Source organism: Homo sapiens, chromosome 15, assembly GCF_000001405.40.
Source record: "Homo sapiens chromosome 15, GRCh38.p14 Primary Assembly".
Classification (NCBI taxonomy): domain Eukaryota; kingdom Metazoa; phylum Chordata; class Mammalia; order Primates; family Hominidae; genus Homo; species Homo sapiens.
Genome location: NC_000015.10, coordinates 92,102,776 through 92,122,534, shown reverse-complemented (window position 1 = coordinate 92,122,534; position 19,759 = coordinate 92,102,776). Strand labels below are relative to the sequence as shown.

The 19,759-nt window shown below is 46.5% G+C and overlaps 1 protein-coding gene across 3 annotated transcripts in view, besides 4 other annotated features; it reads right to left on the bottom strand.

Moving 5' to 3' along the window:
- Nucleotides 1-19,759, bottom strand: part of SLCO3A1 (solute carrier organic anion transporter family member 3A1) — a 318,728-nt gene that overhangs the window by 49,901 nt on the left and 249,068 nt on the right. For all 3 annotated transcript variants that reach the window (NR_135775.2, NM_001145044.1, NM_013272.4), the window contains exons 4-5: nt 17,993-18,256; nt 1,906-2,070 (exon numbers count right to left, since the gene is read on the bottom strand). Coding sequence is in view for 2 of the 3 variants with exons in the window: in NM_001145044.1 (NP_001138516.1) it covers nt 1,906-2,070; nt 17,993-18,256 (429 nt within the window). In the remaining variant the exon portion in view is untranslated. The remainder of the gene's footprint in view (nt 1-1,905; nt 2,071-17,992; nt 18,257-19,759) is intronic.
- Nucleotides 1,802-2,096: a silencer, noted in NCBI's record as "tiled region #9655; HepG2 Repressive non-DNase unmatched - State 22:ReprW". NCBI's record gives its function as "represses a minimal TATA promoter and a strong SV40 promoter by Sharpr-MPRA in HepG2 cells {active_cell/tissue: HepG2}" and the evidence as "EXISTENCE:reporter gene assay evidence [ECO:0000049][PMID:27701403]".
- Nucleotides 2,199-2,897: an enhancer, noted in NCBI's record as "H3K27ac-H3K4me1 hESC enhancer chr15:92662868-92663566 (GRCh37/hg19 assembly coordinates)". NCBI's record gives its function as "activates a minimal SCP1, AML or CMV promoter by ChIP-STARR-seq in naive H9 embryonic stem cells {active_cell/tissue: H9 hESC(naive)}" and the evidence as "EXISTENCE:reporter gene assay evidence [ECO:0000049][PMID:30033119]".
- Nucleotides 3,597-4,296: an enhancer, noted in NCBI's record as "OCT4-NANOG-H3K27ac hESC enhancer chr15:92661469-92662168 (GRCh37/hg19 assembly coordinates)". NCBI's record gives its function as "activates a minimal SCP1, AML or CMV promoter by ChIP-STARR-seq in primed H9 embryonic stem cells {active_cell/tissue: H9 hESC(primed)}" and the evidence as "EXISTENCE:reporter gene assay evidence [ECO:0000049][PMID:30033119]".
- Nucleotides 4,477-5,068: an enhancer, noted in NCBI's record as "H3K27ac hESC enhancer chr15:92660697-92661288 (GRCh37/hg19 assembly coordinates)". NCBI's record gives its function as "activates a minimal SCP1, AML or CMV promoter by ChIP-STARR-seq in naive H9 embryonic stem cells {active_cell/tissue: H9 hESC(naive)}" and the evidence as "EXISTENCE:reporter gene assay evidence [ECO:0000049][PMID:30033119]".

Sequence of the window (19,759 nt, the reverse complement as noted above, 5' to 3'; positions counted from 1 at the left end):
AGTTCCAGTGGCTCCACATCCTCCCCAACACTTGGTTCTATCAGTCTGGTGGATGTTTAGCAGCACCTCATTGTGGTTCCAATGTACATTTCTCTGATGACTCATGATGGTTAGCACCTTTGTGTTTGTTTCTTGGCCATCTTGTGACATGACAGGAGATTTTAAAAGGGAAGATCAGAAAGCATCACCTTCCCTTTCCTCTCAGCAGACAATCTGACTCCTACTTTACAGAGAAGACGAAGTCTGTGGAGCTGTAGCTGCCCCCATGCCTGGCTGTATCACCACATTCTCAGTAGCTTCCATCACGTGTCCCTCCCTCTGCTCTTTCAGGAGAACAGGTGAACTCCTCTGTCAAGGGCTGTCCACCACATTCCCTCTCTCTGCTGCAAATCCCCAGCTGTGGGCTCCTTTCCCTCCACTGAGAAACCTGCTCAAGTCTTTCCTGTCCCAGCAACCACATAGTCACCACTCCCTCCCTCGACTCCAACACATGCCACAGGCCATGTCCTCTCTCCTTTCTCCCCTGGCTAAGTCCCGTGCTCACTGTCTACTCCTTCCCTCTCGTGGGCTTCCCTCCACACCACAGAACGGGTGCCACCGCTGCCACTTCAGGGACACAGCCCTCACACAGGCTGCAAGCTGTCCTCATCATTAAAGCCAACAGAGACATTTGGGCCCTCACCTTGCTTGACTGCTCACATTGCAGATGGCTGCTTTCTTCTTGGAATCATCTCACCCTTGACTTCCATGATCCACATTCTCTGCATTTCTTTTGGGTGCTGTTGCTTAAATTTCTCTGCAGACTCCTCTATTTCTTCAGGTTGGGGTTTCACCTATCTTTTTTTAACTCTACACATTTTTTCCTACGTAAATTCCACTCCGATGTCCTCAACTACCATCCATTTACTGAGGCAACTGAACCTCCACTACTACATATAATATCGATTATCATCCCAGAGACCCTTCTTGACCCCTCGGCTGAATACTGGACATCACTTAGATATGCTATGGGCATCTCACACTCAACAGCTTCAGGTCTGATCCAGAAACTTTGCATGGATCTGATTCTTCTTTGTTATTTCCAGTCTTTACAAATGGTACCACAAGCTCTCCAAGCCAGAAACCTGAGAGCCATTGTTGATTCTTCCCTCTTGTTTGACTGCTATGTCTGTTGCTGTTGTGTCCACTACTTATCAACATCTCAGCTGATTAACTCAACAAATGCAGCTTCCTGTCATTTGAAGTAAAGGATGATATATTGTCACAAAACAAAAAGCAAACTAAGACATGCTGCAGGACCACATTCCTTACCCTGCCTGAGCAACACTGCTTCTCATGAGTGCAAACTGGTTTTCTTTAGTATGTCAACTCTGAACAATTGGGAGTAGAAACCTGTAGTCTATGATTTAAAGAACTGTAAAGCCATGCCTGACCTTGGGGAGAAGGAGTGTCATGATCCATTAGTTATGTCTGTTGTGGGCACAGGGAGGAGTAGGGAGTGTATGGCTTCCAAGCTCTGCAGTTAACTATGGGTCTCATGCTGCCAAGAATATTCTTAACTTTATGTGGCTGATTAAAACCTGCTAACCTTTCAAGATTTATCCTTCTTCATCATAGCTTCCTCAAATTTCCCATTTCACACCCATCTATCGACTTACTGGCCTCTCAAATGTACATTTTATATTTTCACTCTTTATTATCATGTGCTTTTAGCAACTGATCCAGGCAGGCAAATCTTACTCTGAGAATATACTTTAAATTCCTTGTGCACAGAGGCCACATATATCTTGTTGCTGTAGGCCCAGAGCAGAGTGGGGTTCTTCAGCAGGGCTCAGTAAATTTTTAGTGCCTTACACACAGGACACCCTCCCCCGACCCTCTCAGGAGGCCTGAGGACACACTCACCAAGCAGCTGGTTGGCAGAAGAGGTGGTGAGGTTAAACTGCTGCTCCAGGTACTTCCCCAAAAAGGCAGCGAAGCCAGCCACCACTGCAATCTCCATGCAGGCGGCCAGGATGATGCAGGTGAACACAGGGTTTGAGAGCAGGTGCTTGGTGACCTTCGGGATCACTGCAGGGAGACAGAAGGCAGATGGTCAGGGTCAAGGTCACACCCTGTGCTCCCATCTTATAGCTCCCTGCTCCTAAGGCCCCTTCTTGGCCCGCTCTTGTCCATTTCAGCAAACAGCATCCAGAGGTACCCAGTTGCTAAGGCCAAAATCTACACCCCATAAGTCATCCATGATTGTGAAATCTCTGGCTTCAAAGCGTACACTGACATGTTGCCAATTACTATCTTCTACTAAAACAGGAGAGACTATACCAGGACTTTTCTTACAGTTCACTAGACACAGTAAAATTTTTTTAAAGCAATGTCAGAAGATATTTTCATCCTCTACTAACAGAGGGTTTGGGGTTTGTTTCTCAAAAGAAAAAAAAATGTGTGTGTGTGTGTGTGTTTATATAAAATAAAGTATAAATATCAATATATTTAAGTATATGTCAATATACCTATTGATGGATCTATATATATATATGTGTAAGAAAATATACTTAACAGTTTCAAGAAAGATATGAAATTCTTGTGCTCTCCAAAATGTGTACATGCCTAATAAAACCCCTTCTTGCCATCTTCATGGCTACCTCTCTGGCAAAATTTCCATCAGCTCTCACTTGGAGACCACCAGAGCCACCCAACTGGGGTCTTGGTTTTCACTCTTGATCCAATATAATAATTCCCTGAGTAGCAGTCAGCGAGATCAGCTCAAATCAGTTTCCTGCTCAAAACCCTGCAATGGTCAAAATCCATAGGCTGTGCCATGGCCCGAGGTCTGCCCCTCAGTGATCTGATCACACCCCCTAGCCCCTCCTCTTCCCACCCTCCAGTCCAGCCCCAGTGGCTCTGGCTGTTTCTCGCCTGCACCCAGGTCCACCCCACCCAGGTCTTTGTCCTTGGGGGTCTTCCCTATACAAGAATGCTCTGCCTGTAGATCTTTGCTGAATGTGTTTCCTTCTCCTTAGCGGGTCTCTTCTCATCACCCAGTCTACCCTAGAAGAAGCCTCCCACTCAGTCCTGGTGCTCAGGGCTTCTATGAAAGCTGGTGATGGGCAAAAGTGCTCTGAGGTTCATGCACCACTTTAAATAATGACAGAGCCGGAAAGCAGGAATTGTTGAGGTCTTGTACTTCATTCTTTCTTTATTTTACTCTATTTTTCTTAAAGCATGTGGTTTTATATGCCACTAAGACTTTCCCTTAAATTGGTGCTTTTAAAATAGGAGATTCATTTTTTAAAAATCCTTTGAAAACAAGCACATTATTTGGATATTCCCAGCAATCAGAATCATTGGCATGTGGTCTTCAGCCAAGTCTCCTAAATTATGGTATGACGTATCCTGGCAGTGTACAAGAGAGCTCTGGGGCACCAGGACAACCCTGTCATTTCAATATTTGTGCCATGATTTTAATATGTCCTTACAACAAAGCTGAAATACAGCTGATACATCGAATGCGTGGTTTCATGGCTGTTATGGCTTAAGACACTGCTAGGCTACAAAAAGTAAGTAGATTTAAAGTTATTTAAAGAGAAGTCTTAAGTGCATAATGGTTCAGGTGGAATGCAAATAAAGCAAAAATTATAGAGGTGGTTTCCCAGAGACTAGACTAAAGTTAGGGAAGTCTGTGCTGCTGCGATCATAAAGTGTGGAGTATCTGACATGCAGTTTACTTGTTTCCACCTATGCAAACAGAACAGATAAAACACAGAGTCCCAGAGGAAGGAGGTACTACACCACGTCTAGGAAAAACTGATCAGTGCCGTGGTGGCATGCAAAATAAACAGGTGGGCAGGGAGTCTCACACTGCATTCCAAGGTGATGAATTAGCCAGCTGTCCTAAAGAAGAGAGCTAATTATCAGGCTCAATCTCATCTCGTAGGAGATGAAACCTCTAAGCGGCCCAACTCATCAGAATAAAATAATAATAGGGGATGCATAAGTTTTTAATAATGTTAACAGACAAGCTCAATAAGTCAAGAACTGGCAGATATACAAAACTTAGAATTTACCATTTCCAGGAATGGTATCAAGTTTCAAGAATGAAAATCTACACAGAAGATCAGCATCTTAGGGTTCTTTGACATAACAAAAAGAACTTAGTTATGCAAATGGACTGAGCCAGATGACCAAAAGCTTGGAATTGGCAAAGCCTGAGCAACCGAATCCTGTGTTATAACCAGATGATAACCAGAGCTGGTGGCCTTGGCTGTTCTGTGGTGGTTCCTTGTAAAATTCCTGAAACATTAGAAAGGCAACTCTCTGATGAAATAAATGCACAAATAAAAATAACACTTTTAAAAGGCTATGAATAAGAATAAAGATAATAAGAAAACAACTTCAAGTCCATTGTATTAATACACTTATACCCTCCTCGATTTTAAGTGTACTGGTCTTTATGTGTGTGTTTTGTCTATTTTTACAAGGTTTAAAGCATTTACCATCATCTGAATTTTTAGAAATATCATTTCAAATAAATATTTAGAAGTGTTTACCTTTATAACACCTATATGTAAATGTTGGGAAATTTTCCTGTGTTAAATCCACATTATGTTTAAAGTATGGTACAAATATTTAGAGTAATCCTGACTGTGAAATATTTAAATATGTGGATTGTTCAACAAATACAGATGAATTCATTGGGCATAAACAGAGGACAATGAGGTAAGCATTTATCTTCATGTACAGAAGCCCCTTGGATGTTACAAGTCTATCCTCATAAATCACTATGAATGAGTGAAATCTGATTTGCTATACTGTGTGGCACGTTCTGATGGTGTAGTGTACCTGTGGCAGGAGACCTGTCGGCCATGCCACACAACAACAAGTTTCACAATGTAGTAAGAACAGTATGGATCACGTCGGGTTATAACAGCGCCTCCTTGTAATGAATACATTTGAATGTCCCGGTGGTTTATGTGTTTTGGCAAGTAATAACGCCATTTCTCAATCACAGTGCTCTTTTGGAATAAAGATATCTAAATTCTGGAAACATTGCCAATGTCAAATAGGCAGGCTGGGGACATTCCAGGAAAACGATCCTCTGCCGTGCTTTCACTGTAGCCTTCATTTTTTTCATTAGGGTGCAGAATCTTCAGAGTCTAGGACTCCTGGAGAATAAAGCATCACAGCCACGCTTGGTCACAAGTAAAACTGCTGCCGGGCTGAGGCTGATACCTCCAGCATTTGCTGATTAGCAACTTTGCTCTTTGGCTCAGAAATGACACTGATGATGATTTCAGTTTTATCACATTATCTATTTAGGTCCTGGTATCTCCCTGTCCTTGTTCAGAGTCATCATGATTTGTTTGGGGATGAGGAAGGCACTGTTCAACAAAGGCAACTCCGGTTAATGGAATGCTTTTATACTTCAGCAAGCAATTTAATTATTCTGGAGATAATTCCACTTCAGCGGGAAGGATTCCTTGTCAAGATAGAAGTCTGCCTGCTTTTGTCTTAATATCTAATAACTAATTTCTCCTTGAATTAGATGTGAAAAATCATTAGGTTTGAGAATGATTTGACTGAATCATTTGACTTGAGGAAGCCTTAGTGGGCCTTATTTGCATGAAGAACATTCTTTTTTTTTCCCTCTACCAAGGCAACTTGCCTCCAGAAATGACAGTTTCCTCTTGGGTTCGCTATTTCCTTCCAAGTTCTTCCTCCCATCCCCAGTTTTATTGCAATGACTTGCAGCACCCTCAAAAGATGATTGCTTTTCAAAGGTTCAGCCTACCTTCCAAAACCCTAGTTTGAGAAGGGCTATTAATTAGTTTGCTCCTAGGGCCAACCCTGTGTTTCAAGCTTTTGCATTCAAACAGATTGTTAAGCCTATAAAATTCTGACTTTTTAAGGAGGCAGCAGCTAATGGGGCGGCCCAGGCAAACAGAAACTGGTGAACCAAGGCCACACCAGGCCATTGAACACCTGCAGACTCTCTTAGCCATGTACCCCCCGCCTACCGATTTAGCCTCAGAACTTGGGAGCTGGAGGTGGGAGGTAGGCTGGCTTGAATTATGCAGCCTCACCAGCTGGAGAAACCTTTTCAACTCTCATTAGGAGCTTGGTACTGTCACCAGCAAGATGACACAAAGGTGGAAAGAGCGGCAGGAGAGCGGTCTCTAGGGAAAACAGGTTTTCTACTGCTAGTCTTTAAGAGATTCCTGTAGGATTAAGAGTTCTTGGAAACTTATGGGTCCTTCAGGACGGAGAAAGGCAGATTTTGGAGGAGTCATGAAAACTAACGTTGACAGAGCATTTCCTTTGTGCAAAAATGCCGTTCTAAATGCTTACCTATCTGCTCCCACAATGCTCACAGCAAACCTGTGATCTTGGGACTATTAAATCCCCCATTTACAGATGAAAAAGCTGAGGCAGAGAGAGGTCCCATGGTTAGAGCAGCACAGCAGAAACTGAAACCCTGGTACCTGCTGCCATGGCATGTGCTTGTCACCAGTATGCTACTCTGGTCTGGCTTCTGAGCTGCTCTTGGTTTGAAGATTAAGCATGCAGGCCACTCCTGGTAGTCAAAGGTGCAGCTTAATTCTAAGAAATAATGATAGTAATAGCAATAATAATAATAAAAAATTTCTGCCTAGGTTGGGGAAAATGACCAGATCTGGCATGGATCTGGGACTTAGTCCATTTTTTTTTTTTTTTTTTTTTTTGAGGGAAGAGAACTAGGGAAGAGAGGGAGGGAGAAATATTAATAAAAGGAAGAAAGAATTGTAGAGCTGAAAGAGGAGGCTTGTACTGTAGAAAAGGTTTTGCTGAATGAGGTTGTATAAAATAATGGCTAAGAACCTGGTCTAAGGAGTCAGGTAATCAGGATTGAATTCTGGCTTCAAGGCTTTAGTAGATGTGGAAGTGACTGGAGCACAGAACTCCACCCCACAGACTGCTATAAAGATGAAATGAGACCCAAGTGTGTAAAGCATGTGGCCCAGTGTCTCTGGCACACAGGTGTGAGCTCAGTAAGAATAATAATAATTAATATAAAAGAAGTGATCCACGGTCAAGTCATGGAGGAAACCCTCAGGCTCCTTGTCATGTGTAGTGTTCCTCAGAGCCATGGGGATACACGACTTGCTGCAGATGTATCTGTGTGCGCTGCTTGGTGAGCTAGCAGAGAAGGGAAAGAAGGTGAAGTGGGGCAGCCATAGCCATGGAGAAAGTGGGCTGGGCTGAGTTCCTGGGCCATCTCTGTGGTCAAGAAGAGCTCCTACCTCCAGAGGGCCAGGCAGCAGGCCAGGTCAGGAAGCAATGTACTTGTCCATGGCCTTGGTTTCCATGTCCAGTTCCCCGGAATTGAAGTTGCCCAAGGCAGTGGTTATCATGGGGCTCAGTGTACCTGCTGGACTCTCGGTGTATTTCTGCTTTCAATCTTCTCTACTGAAGTTGGCCTTGACTTTCTTTTCCTTTGATAACATTGCTGTCAACACACCACTGTCACGGCTCCCAAGAAGGGGAGATGAAGCTAATGCATGCAACTGCTCAGTAATTACAATGGTAGCCAATGCTTTTTGGGTTATCGTCTTAACATTATCATTCCAGACATGAGAAAACCAACGCTTCATTGAGAGGCTATAAATTCCACCTTGCCCAAGAATGCAGAGCTGGGAGGTGAGGGAGGGTGGATTTGAACTAAGGTCAGCCTGAGCTCCAAAGTCCACGTGCTTAACATTCAGGTATTTTGTGGGGACTTGAATCTATAAAAGTTGTTTTTCTGAATGTTGAGTTGCCATGAGGAGCTTCCCAACACATGAGACCCACAGACAGAAGAGAACAGAGAGCAGGGAGGTCTTAGATGAGATAAATGACAGTCTTCAAATCATAACTTAAAAAAAGGGAAAGAGGAAGAAATAATAAAAATGTAGAAAAATACTGTGACGGAAGCATGGGTGTGAATCCAAGGTGGGGTGACCCCTAGGAGAAACGGTGTCACGGAATAGCATCAAGGTTTAGCAACCACCGAGTTGGTTGCTAATGTGCCCCGTGCAGGCTGGATGCCCTTGCCTGAGTCCTTCTCATCTCCCAAGCCAGAAGCCACGTGGGACCAAGGATGGAGCAGTTCTGTCATTAGATGTGAGCACCACGCCCCGTAAGAGCAGACACTTAACAAACTCAAGGGGTATTAAAGAATCTAATAAATAAATTTTAAAATGAATGAATGAATTGCAAAGCTTTGAAGGGTAACTGTTATAGCCTCGTAAGAAACACTAACTGAGGCAACAGAAAAAAACTTATGAACCAACCATCAGTGACATGCCACAGGTTCACTGTCTGGGTGGAAACATATTCAGACCCTTGCTTATACAGTCAGGGGGAGCTTATTTGTTAAGTCAGTTCCCTGCCATTACATGCCCCCTGCCTGTACAAATGCAGGAGGACCAGCTCTGACCTGTTGGCCCCCAGGGGAGATCAAAGAACGCCCCCATTGCTTCTGGCATTCATGTGCAATTGGGAGTTCACAAAGAATCATCTAGGAGGCTTTGAAAACCTACAGATGCTTGGACCCCTTCTCTACTCACAGAATCAAAATTCCCGGGCTGTGGCCCACAAACAGGGCGGTTCAAGAAACTCCACAGGTGATGTTGACTCAAACTCCTGGCCTATGGGGGCAATAATCCAGAATGTCAGTCTCTTCTTCATTTACACTGTCGATTCTGGAGGTGTCTAAGCCATTCCCTTGCGTAGGGGTAGAGGAAAGCCCAGGTGGGAGAGGAGGCCTGCAGTGTCTGGGAGTCTTCTAAAAGCAAGTGCCTGCCACACACTGGCCCCAGATGGGGCAGCCTCCGGCCCCAGCTTCAGACCCACCATGGTTTCATTGCTGCGGATGAACTTGCCTCCTAACCTCTGCCCTGGGCTATTGAGGAGCCCATGGGAGCGCTTCCTAGCACCTTCTCTTTGCAAGTTTGAGAGAAGCAGCTACTGGGTTTCCTTTTGACCATCCTCTGGAGATAAGAGGCAGAGGGTAGTGCTTCCTTTGCACCTTGTGGCTTGAGTGAACAAATAAATGATCAGCACCAGAAACGAGCATTTAGAATGAAATCCCAATGTTAGCTGGGTGCGGGCTGGCGGGGATAACTCCCCCATCAATTCTATTGATTCCTTTAAGGTCACCAACGCTTCATAACCCCACCAAGAAGGCCCAAGAGAAAAAGTCATGTGGCTGCCCATTAGCCAGTTTAAAGCACGAAGCAAGTGTCTGCAGAGGTGCAGTTAGCTTCCTGCAAGCTGCAGCTCCAAATTGGTGTCGCCCCAGTCATTTCCGTCCCTCTGGAGTGTGAAGTCAGAAAAACGCAGGCTCCGCTCGGGATCACAGAGATGAAGAAAGGAGCCTGGGAGGCAGCAACGTCTTATTCAGACCCAACATGGTGTCTTTCCAGGTCAGAGGTAGCAGAGAGAAAAAGACTAAGGGAATAGGCTTTTGTAAGCAAACAACTGCTTTCACTACTCCAGGCCAGCCCCTAAGAACCTTCTTTGGGAGAGTGGTGGCCACCTCCATGGCAGCAAGGCTGACTGCATTTGGCATTCATGAAAACTCCAACAATGGAGGCATTCACCCTGGAAAGCCTGGAAAGAGAAATACTGACATTCATAAAAGAAACAGTGGGGGTGAAATACCCGATGGACATAAATACCCATCTTTAAGCCTAGAGTTCCTGATGGTATTTCCTCAAGTGTTGAGTTTACAGCAGCCCTTCTCAGAGCCTTCATGCGCTAAGATATCACTTATGAATCTCCACAAGGATCACAGTGTCTACGGTGTCCCAAGCTTATTTGGTGAGTGAGTCCCCTGCCATTACATGTCCCCTGCCTGTACAAATGCAGGAGGACCAGCTCTGATCTGTTGGCCCCCAGAGGAGGCCACTCAAAGAACCCCCCACTGCTTCTGGCATTCATTGGCAATTGGGAGTTCACACAGAATCATCTAGGGGGCTTCGAAAACATCCAGATGCTTGGACCCCTTCTCTACCCACAGAATCAGAATTCCTGGGCTGTGGCCCACACACAGGGTGGTTCAAGAAACTCCACAGCTGATGCTGACTCAAACTCCTGGCTGGGAAACAAGGGCTCCTCAGATAAAGTCCAGATGCTTCAGAAGGGCAATGCTAAGGCTTTCAATAACTCATTCATAATTTCACAAAAGCCTCCACGAGCAGCTTCAGATACCAGGAACTGCTGGTGTGGGAGCAGCCCCTAGTCTGCCTTCCAGCATGACCTTTTCTAAAACCAGACGTCTAGCTCCCAACAGTGTCTTGGGCATTCCTGTCCATGTGTCTCTGCTCATCCCTGTCCCCCATCCCAAAGCTCTTCTCTCTCCATCCACGGGGATCCTGCTCATCCTTCCAGACTGGGGTGAAATGCTACAATCTTTAATCAAGTATCTCCAAGTCCCCTCTCTCTGGTCCTCAGTTCATCCCTTTGAACCTCCTGTGAGCCTTTCCACTTTCTACTCTGTATTCTGGAAGCATTAGCCAAGTAGCTACAGTTAATGTGACTGAAACAGTTCTGAGTCACATATGTTTCAGAAGTATGAATCTCAGAGAGGATCAAACAGCACACAGGTTCCCAAAGTTATTTGGCCATGTAACCATTTCCCCATCCTTCTGTTATTGCTGCTGTTGATTTGTTTTTCCCTGAGCATCTCAAGGGACCCTCATTGGGAAATGCTGCCTTCTAATTATTTCCTTCATTCTTTCATTCAACACGCACTCCAGGAATATCAACAAAGTGCCAGGCATCATGCTAGGCACCCTCACATGGTTTGTCTCAGGAGCTTTGCTGAAATAACTTGAGAAGTGCAGCTGTAGCTTATCTATGGACCTATCCCTCCGGTGCTGTCCACAGCAGGTCCCCTATCAATCAATATTGATAAGAACTTAAGCCAGTGACCAGTCTGGTCCGTGGGGACCTATAAAAACAACTCCTGTGACATGGCAGAATGTAAATCACAGCCTGGCACAGGATTCCAAGCATTTGGGAGGGCATATGGTCTCCTTCACCATGGAATCAGGAAAGAAAAACTTTAACAGGAAATCCACACACAGGAAGAACATGGTTCTGAGGACAGAGTGCATGATTAAAAAAAAGTGCTCAGCTGGTTACCGGCAGAACAAGGACTCTCAGATCACCAGGCTCCTCATGATAACATTATGCTGAAAGGCACAGGATTTTAATTAAGAAAAACATAGCAGAAACTGACTGCTAGATGGTAATGGATGGAGGAGGCTGAGATGCAGAAGCATGAAGTGGGTCCTGTGGCCAGGCCTGAGCTATGGAGAGGCATGAGCTGGGTCATGTGGAGAGGCATGAGCTGGGTCCTGTGGACAGGCAAATCTGTGGCTCCTGCTGAACTGTGGGAAGCACAGTGGTGGGGCGGGGGTGAATGTGCTCCCTGACCAAGATGTAAAGCACCTGCCAGAAGATGGACAAGCGACAACATGAAGCCCAGAGTCCCCAGGGCAAGTCAGTTTTGGCACCAGGGCTGGCACATCCTCTACCATTCAGCAGCCAGGGTGCCAGAAGCAGACCCTCTCCAACACAGGTAGTCACATGTGGGCTGGTGGTGGCACTCAGGACACCTGAAGCTCTTGCCAAGTCTATGGATTGGTCAAACACAGGCCAAAACCCTGAGTGGGAAGTAGGGGGCAGGGGAGCTTTAGGGAAAGCGGCAATCCATTTACTCCCTCCCCTATCACATAGCAGGCACTGAGCACCTGCTGTGTACCAGGACATGAGAAAAAACAACTGCAGTCCCTGCCTTCATGAAGCGTACAGAGTAAGTGAATAAAGGACAATTATTCACACATATAAAGGAAAATTATGATGTGCCTTGGAAGGGGTACCACCAGGTCAGGAAGATGTTCCTAAGAAATGACACATGAGCTGATGTCTGAAGATGAAATGAGAATTCCAGTAGAGGGAACGAATGCAGAGTCCTAGGAGGAAAGGAGCCTGGGGTATAGGGAGAACTGAAAAGAGACCAGTGAGGTGGGCGTGGAGGGAACAGGGCATGACTGGCATGAGAAGGGTTTGGAGGGACTCAGAGACCATGGAAGGACTTTGTCTCCATACCTTAAAGCAAGAGGCAGTAACTTGATCAGATGTGTTCTGAAAAGATCACAGCATGGACAACAGCCTGGAGGGCCCAGGGCATGCTGGAGTGTGGAGTGTTACCTTGTTAATGTTAACAAGGACTCTCAGATCAACAGAGATCAAGGGCAGGCTGGAGAGAGACTTGGGTGGCAAAATCAGCTGAACTCCAGGATGGACTGCATTGCTGGAGGGGAGGGGAGGTTACAAGGACCCAGGAGGATCTCAGCTCCTCAAAAGGTGAACCTTCTCTAGAGCTTGGGCTCTGCATGGCCTCTTTTGGAGGGGGGAAAGGCTGAGCAGAAGTGTACGTTTCTCAGACACAGGAAGGGCTTTGTTACACGGGCCCCAGCCTGATTCCCTTTCTCCTCTTTCGTCAGTTTATGAACAATTTAGTGAACCCTTACAGGAAACGGGAAAGAGCACGGGATTTGGAATCTGGAGAACTAGGTCCAGCCCAGCCACGGGAATCTAAGTACCTGGTTTAACATCACTCACCTCTCCCTGTCTCCCCAACCGCCTGCCAGCCTTGGTGTCCTGATCCCTGATCAGGACAGAGGTAAGTAACATAACCACCCCATCAGCCACCTGTGGGGGCCAAATGGGAGGTCGACGCCAGAGCTCCGGAAATCATAACTCATCTCCTAGATTTGGGTGGTGGCTTTGAAGACTCTGAGCCTGAGGCCCCAGCCCTGCCCACTCAGCTGGCACCTGCTATCTTTTCTGGGACAGGAAGAGACCACTTGGCAGTCAGCATGAAGCGCTCAGTGACAAGAGTGCTCAGCTTTTGATTGCCCTCTCTTTCAGTGATCAAAGGCAGGACTCTCCCTTTGGATTTTAAACCTCTGGTGCGGTTACACTCATCCCAGCTAGAAAACCTGGCAGAGGGTCAGGACAGGCCAATGGTTGCAGGGAGTTGGTTCTCCCCTTCCTTTTAGGCTGCAGCTGTGTCTGGAAGACCCATCTTTTTAGGGGACACCTGTGCTGTTGCAGCCAGCAGCCGTACTTCTAGTACACTCTGCTAAGAAATCAGTCAGCACCTGCTGACGCCACTTATTCTTTAAGAGAGTGTCCGTTTACTGTCAGAAGTGGCAGCATAATGCCATGGTTAAAAAGACAGACACTGGAGCCTTCGCCCGGGTTCAAATGCCTTTCCCTTCCATCTACAAGCCTCACTTGCCTTACTGGTAAGTGGTACCGATGCCTCCTAAGGTTACAGGGATGAAATATGACAGTGCACAAAAAACAATCATTACCTGCTATCTGTGCATGCGTCCATGTCTATACATACATGCAGGCTTGCAAGAAAGTATTCATTTATTACTTCATTCAACCAGTATCACCTACATGCTATGCACTGTTCTGTGCATTGGAAATGAACAGATGAACTGCAGCTTCATCCCTGGAAAATGCATAATCTTTGGACAGATACAGACAAGCAAAGAGACTGCCATGGTAATGTGTTCCCAGGTGCTTTGCAGGGATTCTGTGGAACTCAGAGGAATGCAGCTAACCTAGCACCGGGTACACAGGGGCAGGTACACAGAGGGGCTTTGGGGGGCTTCCTGGGGAGGTGAGAAACAGTCCAGCCCAGAAGTGAACTGAAGGAAGAAGGGCATTCCAGGGAGAAATAGCAGCAAACAAGAGACTGCCTGATGCATTCCAGGAACTGTACAGAGCTGGAGGGAGAAGGCAGATGGACATGCGGCTGCAGAAGAGACCCTCGTCATGTCCATCAAGGCCTCTCAGGGCAAGAGATGCCGGAGACAACTTACAATGGAGCACAAAACTGTGGAGATGATATTTAATACACTATCTGATGATGATACTGTACGTATGTCTATTACAGTCCCTCAACTTCTTCCCTCCAGGTGTAGCCTCTCAAAAGCAATTCTGCAAATTCTGAGCATTTGCTAGATTCAGCACACTAGGTGCAGTCTTGCCCACACACGGCTTACCATGTAGGAAAGGGGAGGAGAGGACACAAGAGGACGAATGTGAGGTGTGTAAAAAACAGGCTGTCCAAAATGCAAGATCAGGGAGGAGCAGAGCCAGAGCCAGGTCTTAAAGGAAAAGTTATTTGGTGGCGCAGCTGAGAAGTAAAAATGTGCCTTGGCTCGGCCAGCCCCCACATCGGGGAGATACTGGAGTTTAACAAACCCAAGCATTTGTTCATCTGCTTCCTGCATGGTAAGATGGTTATGGGGCTGTTGCTATAAGATGGGGACTTCCAGGCTGACCTGGAGCAAGACTCCGGGCTTTCCATCTCTCAGCTTTGGATAAGGGTTGTAAAACCCAATTGATGGCTGACTGTTGGAAGCAGACCTCTGCAGCCCGCTTTTTTTAGGGGAATGTTCTGAAAATCGAACCACAGACTCAAATCCCCATATCACCAGCTTGGTTTTCTCATCTATAGACAGGAATAAACAGTGACACTGACCTTACACAGCTTTTGTAAAGACTAAACCAGACACCATATGTGAAAGCTGAGAGGAGTTAAGTGATGTGGCCAAGGCTGCATGATTAAGAAGCGACTGAGCTGGATTTTAACCCAGGTGGATCTGCCTCAAAGCAGACAGCCCCCTTCTCTCCTAGAAGCAGGAGAAGACTCTAAGTTCCAGAGAAGAGGGGGCTGGAAGGGCTCTTCCTGGCATAATGCCAGCTCTTATCAGGGGGCCTTTGCTGTCTGCAGAGCATGGCAGGGGGCACAGATTGATGGCCAAAGAAGAAACCCATTTGGAAGCTCAGACAAAACGGATGAGAAATTGCAACATGGGGTTTTAGGAGCAATGTCAGTTCTATGTATACATGCAACGCCGTTCAGCTTATTGAAACCCACAAATGTGTAACACACTGCATGTATATAGCACTGCATTTGCAGCGTGGGTTTTCCAGGATGCAAACTGGATGAAGGGTTTTGGAATGCCAGGGTGCACTGCATGGTGCTTTTGGTGGAAAAGCTCGTATAGCAAAAACATGTGTCTCGCATGGAGAAATAAATCATGTAAACGACTGTGGCCCCACTTCATGCACTGGCATGTGTAAAATGTGTTTATTAGCATAATAGCTCATTTCACTGTATTTTGGCTCTTAAGGAATCTTGCAGAAACACTTTCTTCTTTTCCTGTTGAGACATCCTTTTAGTCCATTATGGGCCAATTGCCTCTGGGAATTGTTAATTCTAAATTAAAATCATTAACCATCAGAAGTGAAGCCTGTGCGTATACAGATCACAATTTGTAATCAATATGGCCTCGCGGGTCCCAGACTTGTCTACCTGACTGTGTACTTGTCAGCTCAACGGCAGCTCATCCAGTGCTTGCTTACCTTGTCATTGCTCTGAGCTTGCCTATTGCACCCTAGTGGAACATAAGCTCCAGAATATAAGTCAATTTAGTCAAGGCTGTGCTTAGCACCGAGTAGGGTCTCAGTAACTACCAATGGAATAAAACAAATGAGTTAATGAGCGACTGAATCATGACCCAAGAATGCTTAAGCCATAGCAGGGCTCAAGACTTGGCTCAGCTCTGCCGCTGACCCTTTCCTCACCCGTGACTCCCAGCCCAGGAGCGGTGGGCTTCTCTCTGCCTCTTTGCTGCATTTCTGTAACCACCTGTGCTGCTTGTTATTGCGGTTCTCAAAACACTGGGCTGCCTTTGCTGACTTGCAGACCTGGTCCTGTGTGGGATGGTGAGTTCTCTGATGGCACCATTGTATCTTTTTAATCTTTTTATTCCCAGAGATGAAAGACAAGTGATTACTAGTGCAGCTTTTACAATCAGAGCCCTAGGGAAACAGGGTCATCATCCCGAGGTGGGGAGCAACCTGAAAATACTGTAGTCGCCCATGGCCAGGATGTCCTTTGAAAGCCACACTCTCATGCCTGCCCAATTTATTCCTAGGGGTCTAGTTACCAGGACACTTTCTATGGATGGCTATTAGGGGAGTCTCAGGCATCACTCTCCTGCTACTAGGGGAGTCGCAGGCACCCTCCTTGCCTGGGGCCTGCTGGAAGTGAGCCTATTTTATTAAGCACACGTGCATGAGGACGGGGGCATTCCAACCAAGGCAACCTTAGAGGACACAGATTGGCTGGCCTTCTCATCTACCGGTGCATTCTGGAACTTAAGTTTTATGGATGATTCCAAATTACAGCATTGGTAGAAACCATCATGGAACATGGGGCCAGACATAACATTACGATATTAAATTTGTCTCTTTTCAGAAATCGCACAAGTTCTTGAGATTTCTCATGGACTAACAGGTACGATTAACAGACAGTCTTCTGCAGCAGTGCTTTCATTCTTGAGACAGCACTGGCAGTGAGGAACTGTGTTATTACAGTTTTACATTCGTGGAAAAGAAGCAGGGGGCAGTTAATGATCGCAGGGCTGGTGAGGAACAGAACAGGGGGCTGAGCACAAAGCAGTTCAAGCTTCTCTCCACAAATCTCTAGCATCTCTATAGAAGGCGCACATTGTTACACAGAAGTTTAGTAAACAGACTTTCACTGCTAGGAAATGTCTAAATAAAGCACAGGAGGACTGCATCTGCCGCTGTGGAAGGCTGGCCCGGCTGAGTGCCGCATTCCTGCACAGAGGGGACTGACCATCTCCCTTCTGCATCCCAGCTTCCCTGGGAAGTAGTGCCTGACCTTGCTCCTGGCTGCATGAGCCCACTCATTTCTAAAATCCAGCAGGACGTCAGGGGAGCTGAGCAAGGAGTCGTGTGCATTAAGGAACCTCACACATACCTCGCCTGATAGTCGCCGAGCAGCTTCTGAGACTGCCAGGCTACATTCAGCTCCTTGTCATTTTCCTCGTCTTTAAAGGATTGTGCCGAAGATGGAAACAACTTGGGCGGTGGTGGTGGAGGGGGGTTCTCACTCTGCATCATTGTTTGTGCTTCACCATTTTGTCAGAAAAGTTGCACTTTTTTTTCTTTAAAAAATGATAGCAAGAGCTTTGCTGCATCCTAAAGTGTGACTGTGTCATTAAGACTGGGTTAATATTTCTTTCTGCAGGAAAACATCTCTCATCTTTAGTGGAGACAATGAAAGGACAAAGTGAATGTAAAGAAATGTACTTTGAAGGTGGCTTTTTTTTCTTTTGAGATGAGAGTCTTGCTGTGTCACCCAGGCTGGAGTGCAGTGGCTCAATCTTGGCTCACTGCAACCTCTGGTGAGCTTGAACCCAGGATCAAGCGATTCTCCTGCCTCAGCCTCCCGAGTAGCTGGGATTACAGGCACATGCCACCAAGCCCGGCTAATTTTTGTATTTTAGCAGATATGGGGTTTCACCACGTTGGCCAGGCTGGTCTCAAACTTCTGACCTCAAGTGATCCACCTGCCTTGGCTTCCCAAAGGGCTGGGATTACAGATGTGATTACACCGGGCGCGGTGGCTGGGATTACAGCCACCGCGCCCGGCTGGAGGTGGCTTTTCAAAGAATGCTGATATCAGGCAAAGGAAGCCAACTTCAAAATTCCTTTATTGCTTCCAGGTGCTTATGGGTGGCCTGAAAGAATTCAAAAAAGCTCCACAGAATATTTTGCTTCCTTCTGAAGACATTTATGTTTATTAAATGTCAGGTCCTATATTAACCACTGGGTCCCTTTAACAAATGGTAGCTACTTTATTTTTGTTTTTATTAAGCAAGTCAGGTTATTTACTTCTCAGGAATAAGTTAAGCACCTGGCTGGTAGAGGCCAGCCATGCAAGCCAATATTATTCTGCCTCCACCAAGTCCCCAAGCACCCCAGTCCTGGGTGCCACCCCTTCATTCATCACCCCCATCCCAATCCCCCTACTGTTCTGAGCAGAGGCAGATGAGGCCACCTTTACCTCTCAGCTGCTGGAAACAGGAGGCACTGCTGTCTGGCTCCAGGGGGTGCCTCAGGACCCCGTTGCTGGGCTTGGGTCTCTCGTATTCTCTTTCGGAGAGCATGGCCTGCTCGCTTTCCATGGCGGGCTCTGAGTGCGGGGGCAGGGACTGTGGAAACCCAAACATCAAGAGGGAAGAGAAGAAGAGTAAGGCACCGCAGAGCAGAAAGCCACCCCACCAGGCTCCGATCCAGCGGGGGTCGTCCGGAGTGATGTCCAGGTTACCTGTAAATGGAAAGAGCACAGCTTAGTGGAGAAAAGAAGGCTGGACCACTGGGGATTTTGCTGAGAATCTGAATCCGCTGAACAGAGAGGGCAAGGGCTCTAGAAATGACTTGCGGTCGGGAACACTGGCTGCCAGGCTACGAAGCCTATTGTTCCACACCAGCGGTTCTGTTTCTCTCAAAGCCGGAGGCTGATCACATTCCCCCCTTAATTTTCTTGTCTACCCTGTGTTTATATCGGTCTAAACAAAAACAGTGAGAAGCCAGACGTTCTCTGAATTTAGGCTAAAACTGGCTTGGCAGCACTGCTAAGGTGTACTGAAAGAAGCACAAGGAAATGTTTATTGTTCAGAGGTAGATTTTCACCGGGTATATTCACTCTTGGCTTCCAAAAAGCAGCTCACACGAGATCCCACTCAATGCCCCACTCACTGCCTCAATTTAGGTTCACAGCTCATAAGGGGAGGCGCACAATAGGGTTTTAGAGCAGGGCCTCTGAAGCCAGGCTGCCTGGGTTGAAGTCCTACCCCTTTGTCTCTGTGTGACCCTAGGCCAGTGGTTTGAACTCTCTATGCCTCAGTTTACTGATCTGTATAACATCTAGGATGATGGCAGTACTTAGTGGGAAGATCAAATGACCACACCAGACATAAAATGCTCAGAAGAGTGCCTGGCGCATGCTTGGGCACCCAGATGATGGTAGCCTGTTATTTATGGTGAGGGGCCTTTGTTTCCATGCATTAATTAATTAATTAATGCCAACTTTGTTGGTGGCCTGTGGTTTGGCACCAGCTCTCTAATACAAAGCTTTGCAGTCAACTCATGTGCTTAAAGGGGCTATGCATATGGTTTGGTGGCACTGTACCACTATTTCTTTTATTGTGCCAGCTAAGTCACAAGAACATAAACTTCAGCTTACCCTTTGGTACAGTTTTTTTCTTTCTCTCTCTTTACACCTGCCTTGTACAGCACAGCTCCCAGGTGAGCTGCTTAGAAATGTCTCTTTGATAATAAACCATGCCCCTGGAACATGGAAGGAGAACTGGGGAGATCTGGGCAATGGTGTATGAGGTAAGACCAACAGGGCTGCAGGCCTGGACCAGATGGATGGACAGCTCTGGGAAGAGTAATGACCGCACACACCAGATGAACACTTCAGCACTCATAAAATGTTCTCCCTGAAGACTCCTCAGCTAGCATTAATGATAAGGCCAGCCATCGTTTATTGAGGGCTTCCTCTGCACCAGGCATTATGCAGAGCACATTCTTAACTGTTCCAGCCAACCTTCCCCATAACTCTACAAGGCAGGACTTTTATTATCTGTTTTCTATAGATGGAGTAACTGAGGCTTAGAAAGGTTAGGTTCGTTGCCCAGGTTCATGGGGCTGAAGAACGGAACACAGGTATACACATGCCAAGGTCCACGCTCTCACCTTTCTGTTCCACTGCCCCTCTTCAATGTCTGTTTTTGGGCTCTCTGTAGGGCCCGAGGTGAATGATCAA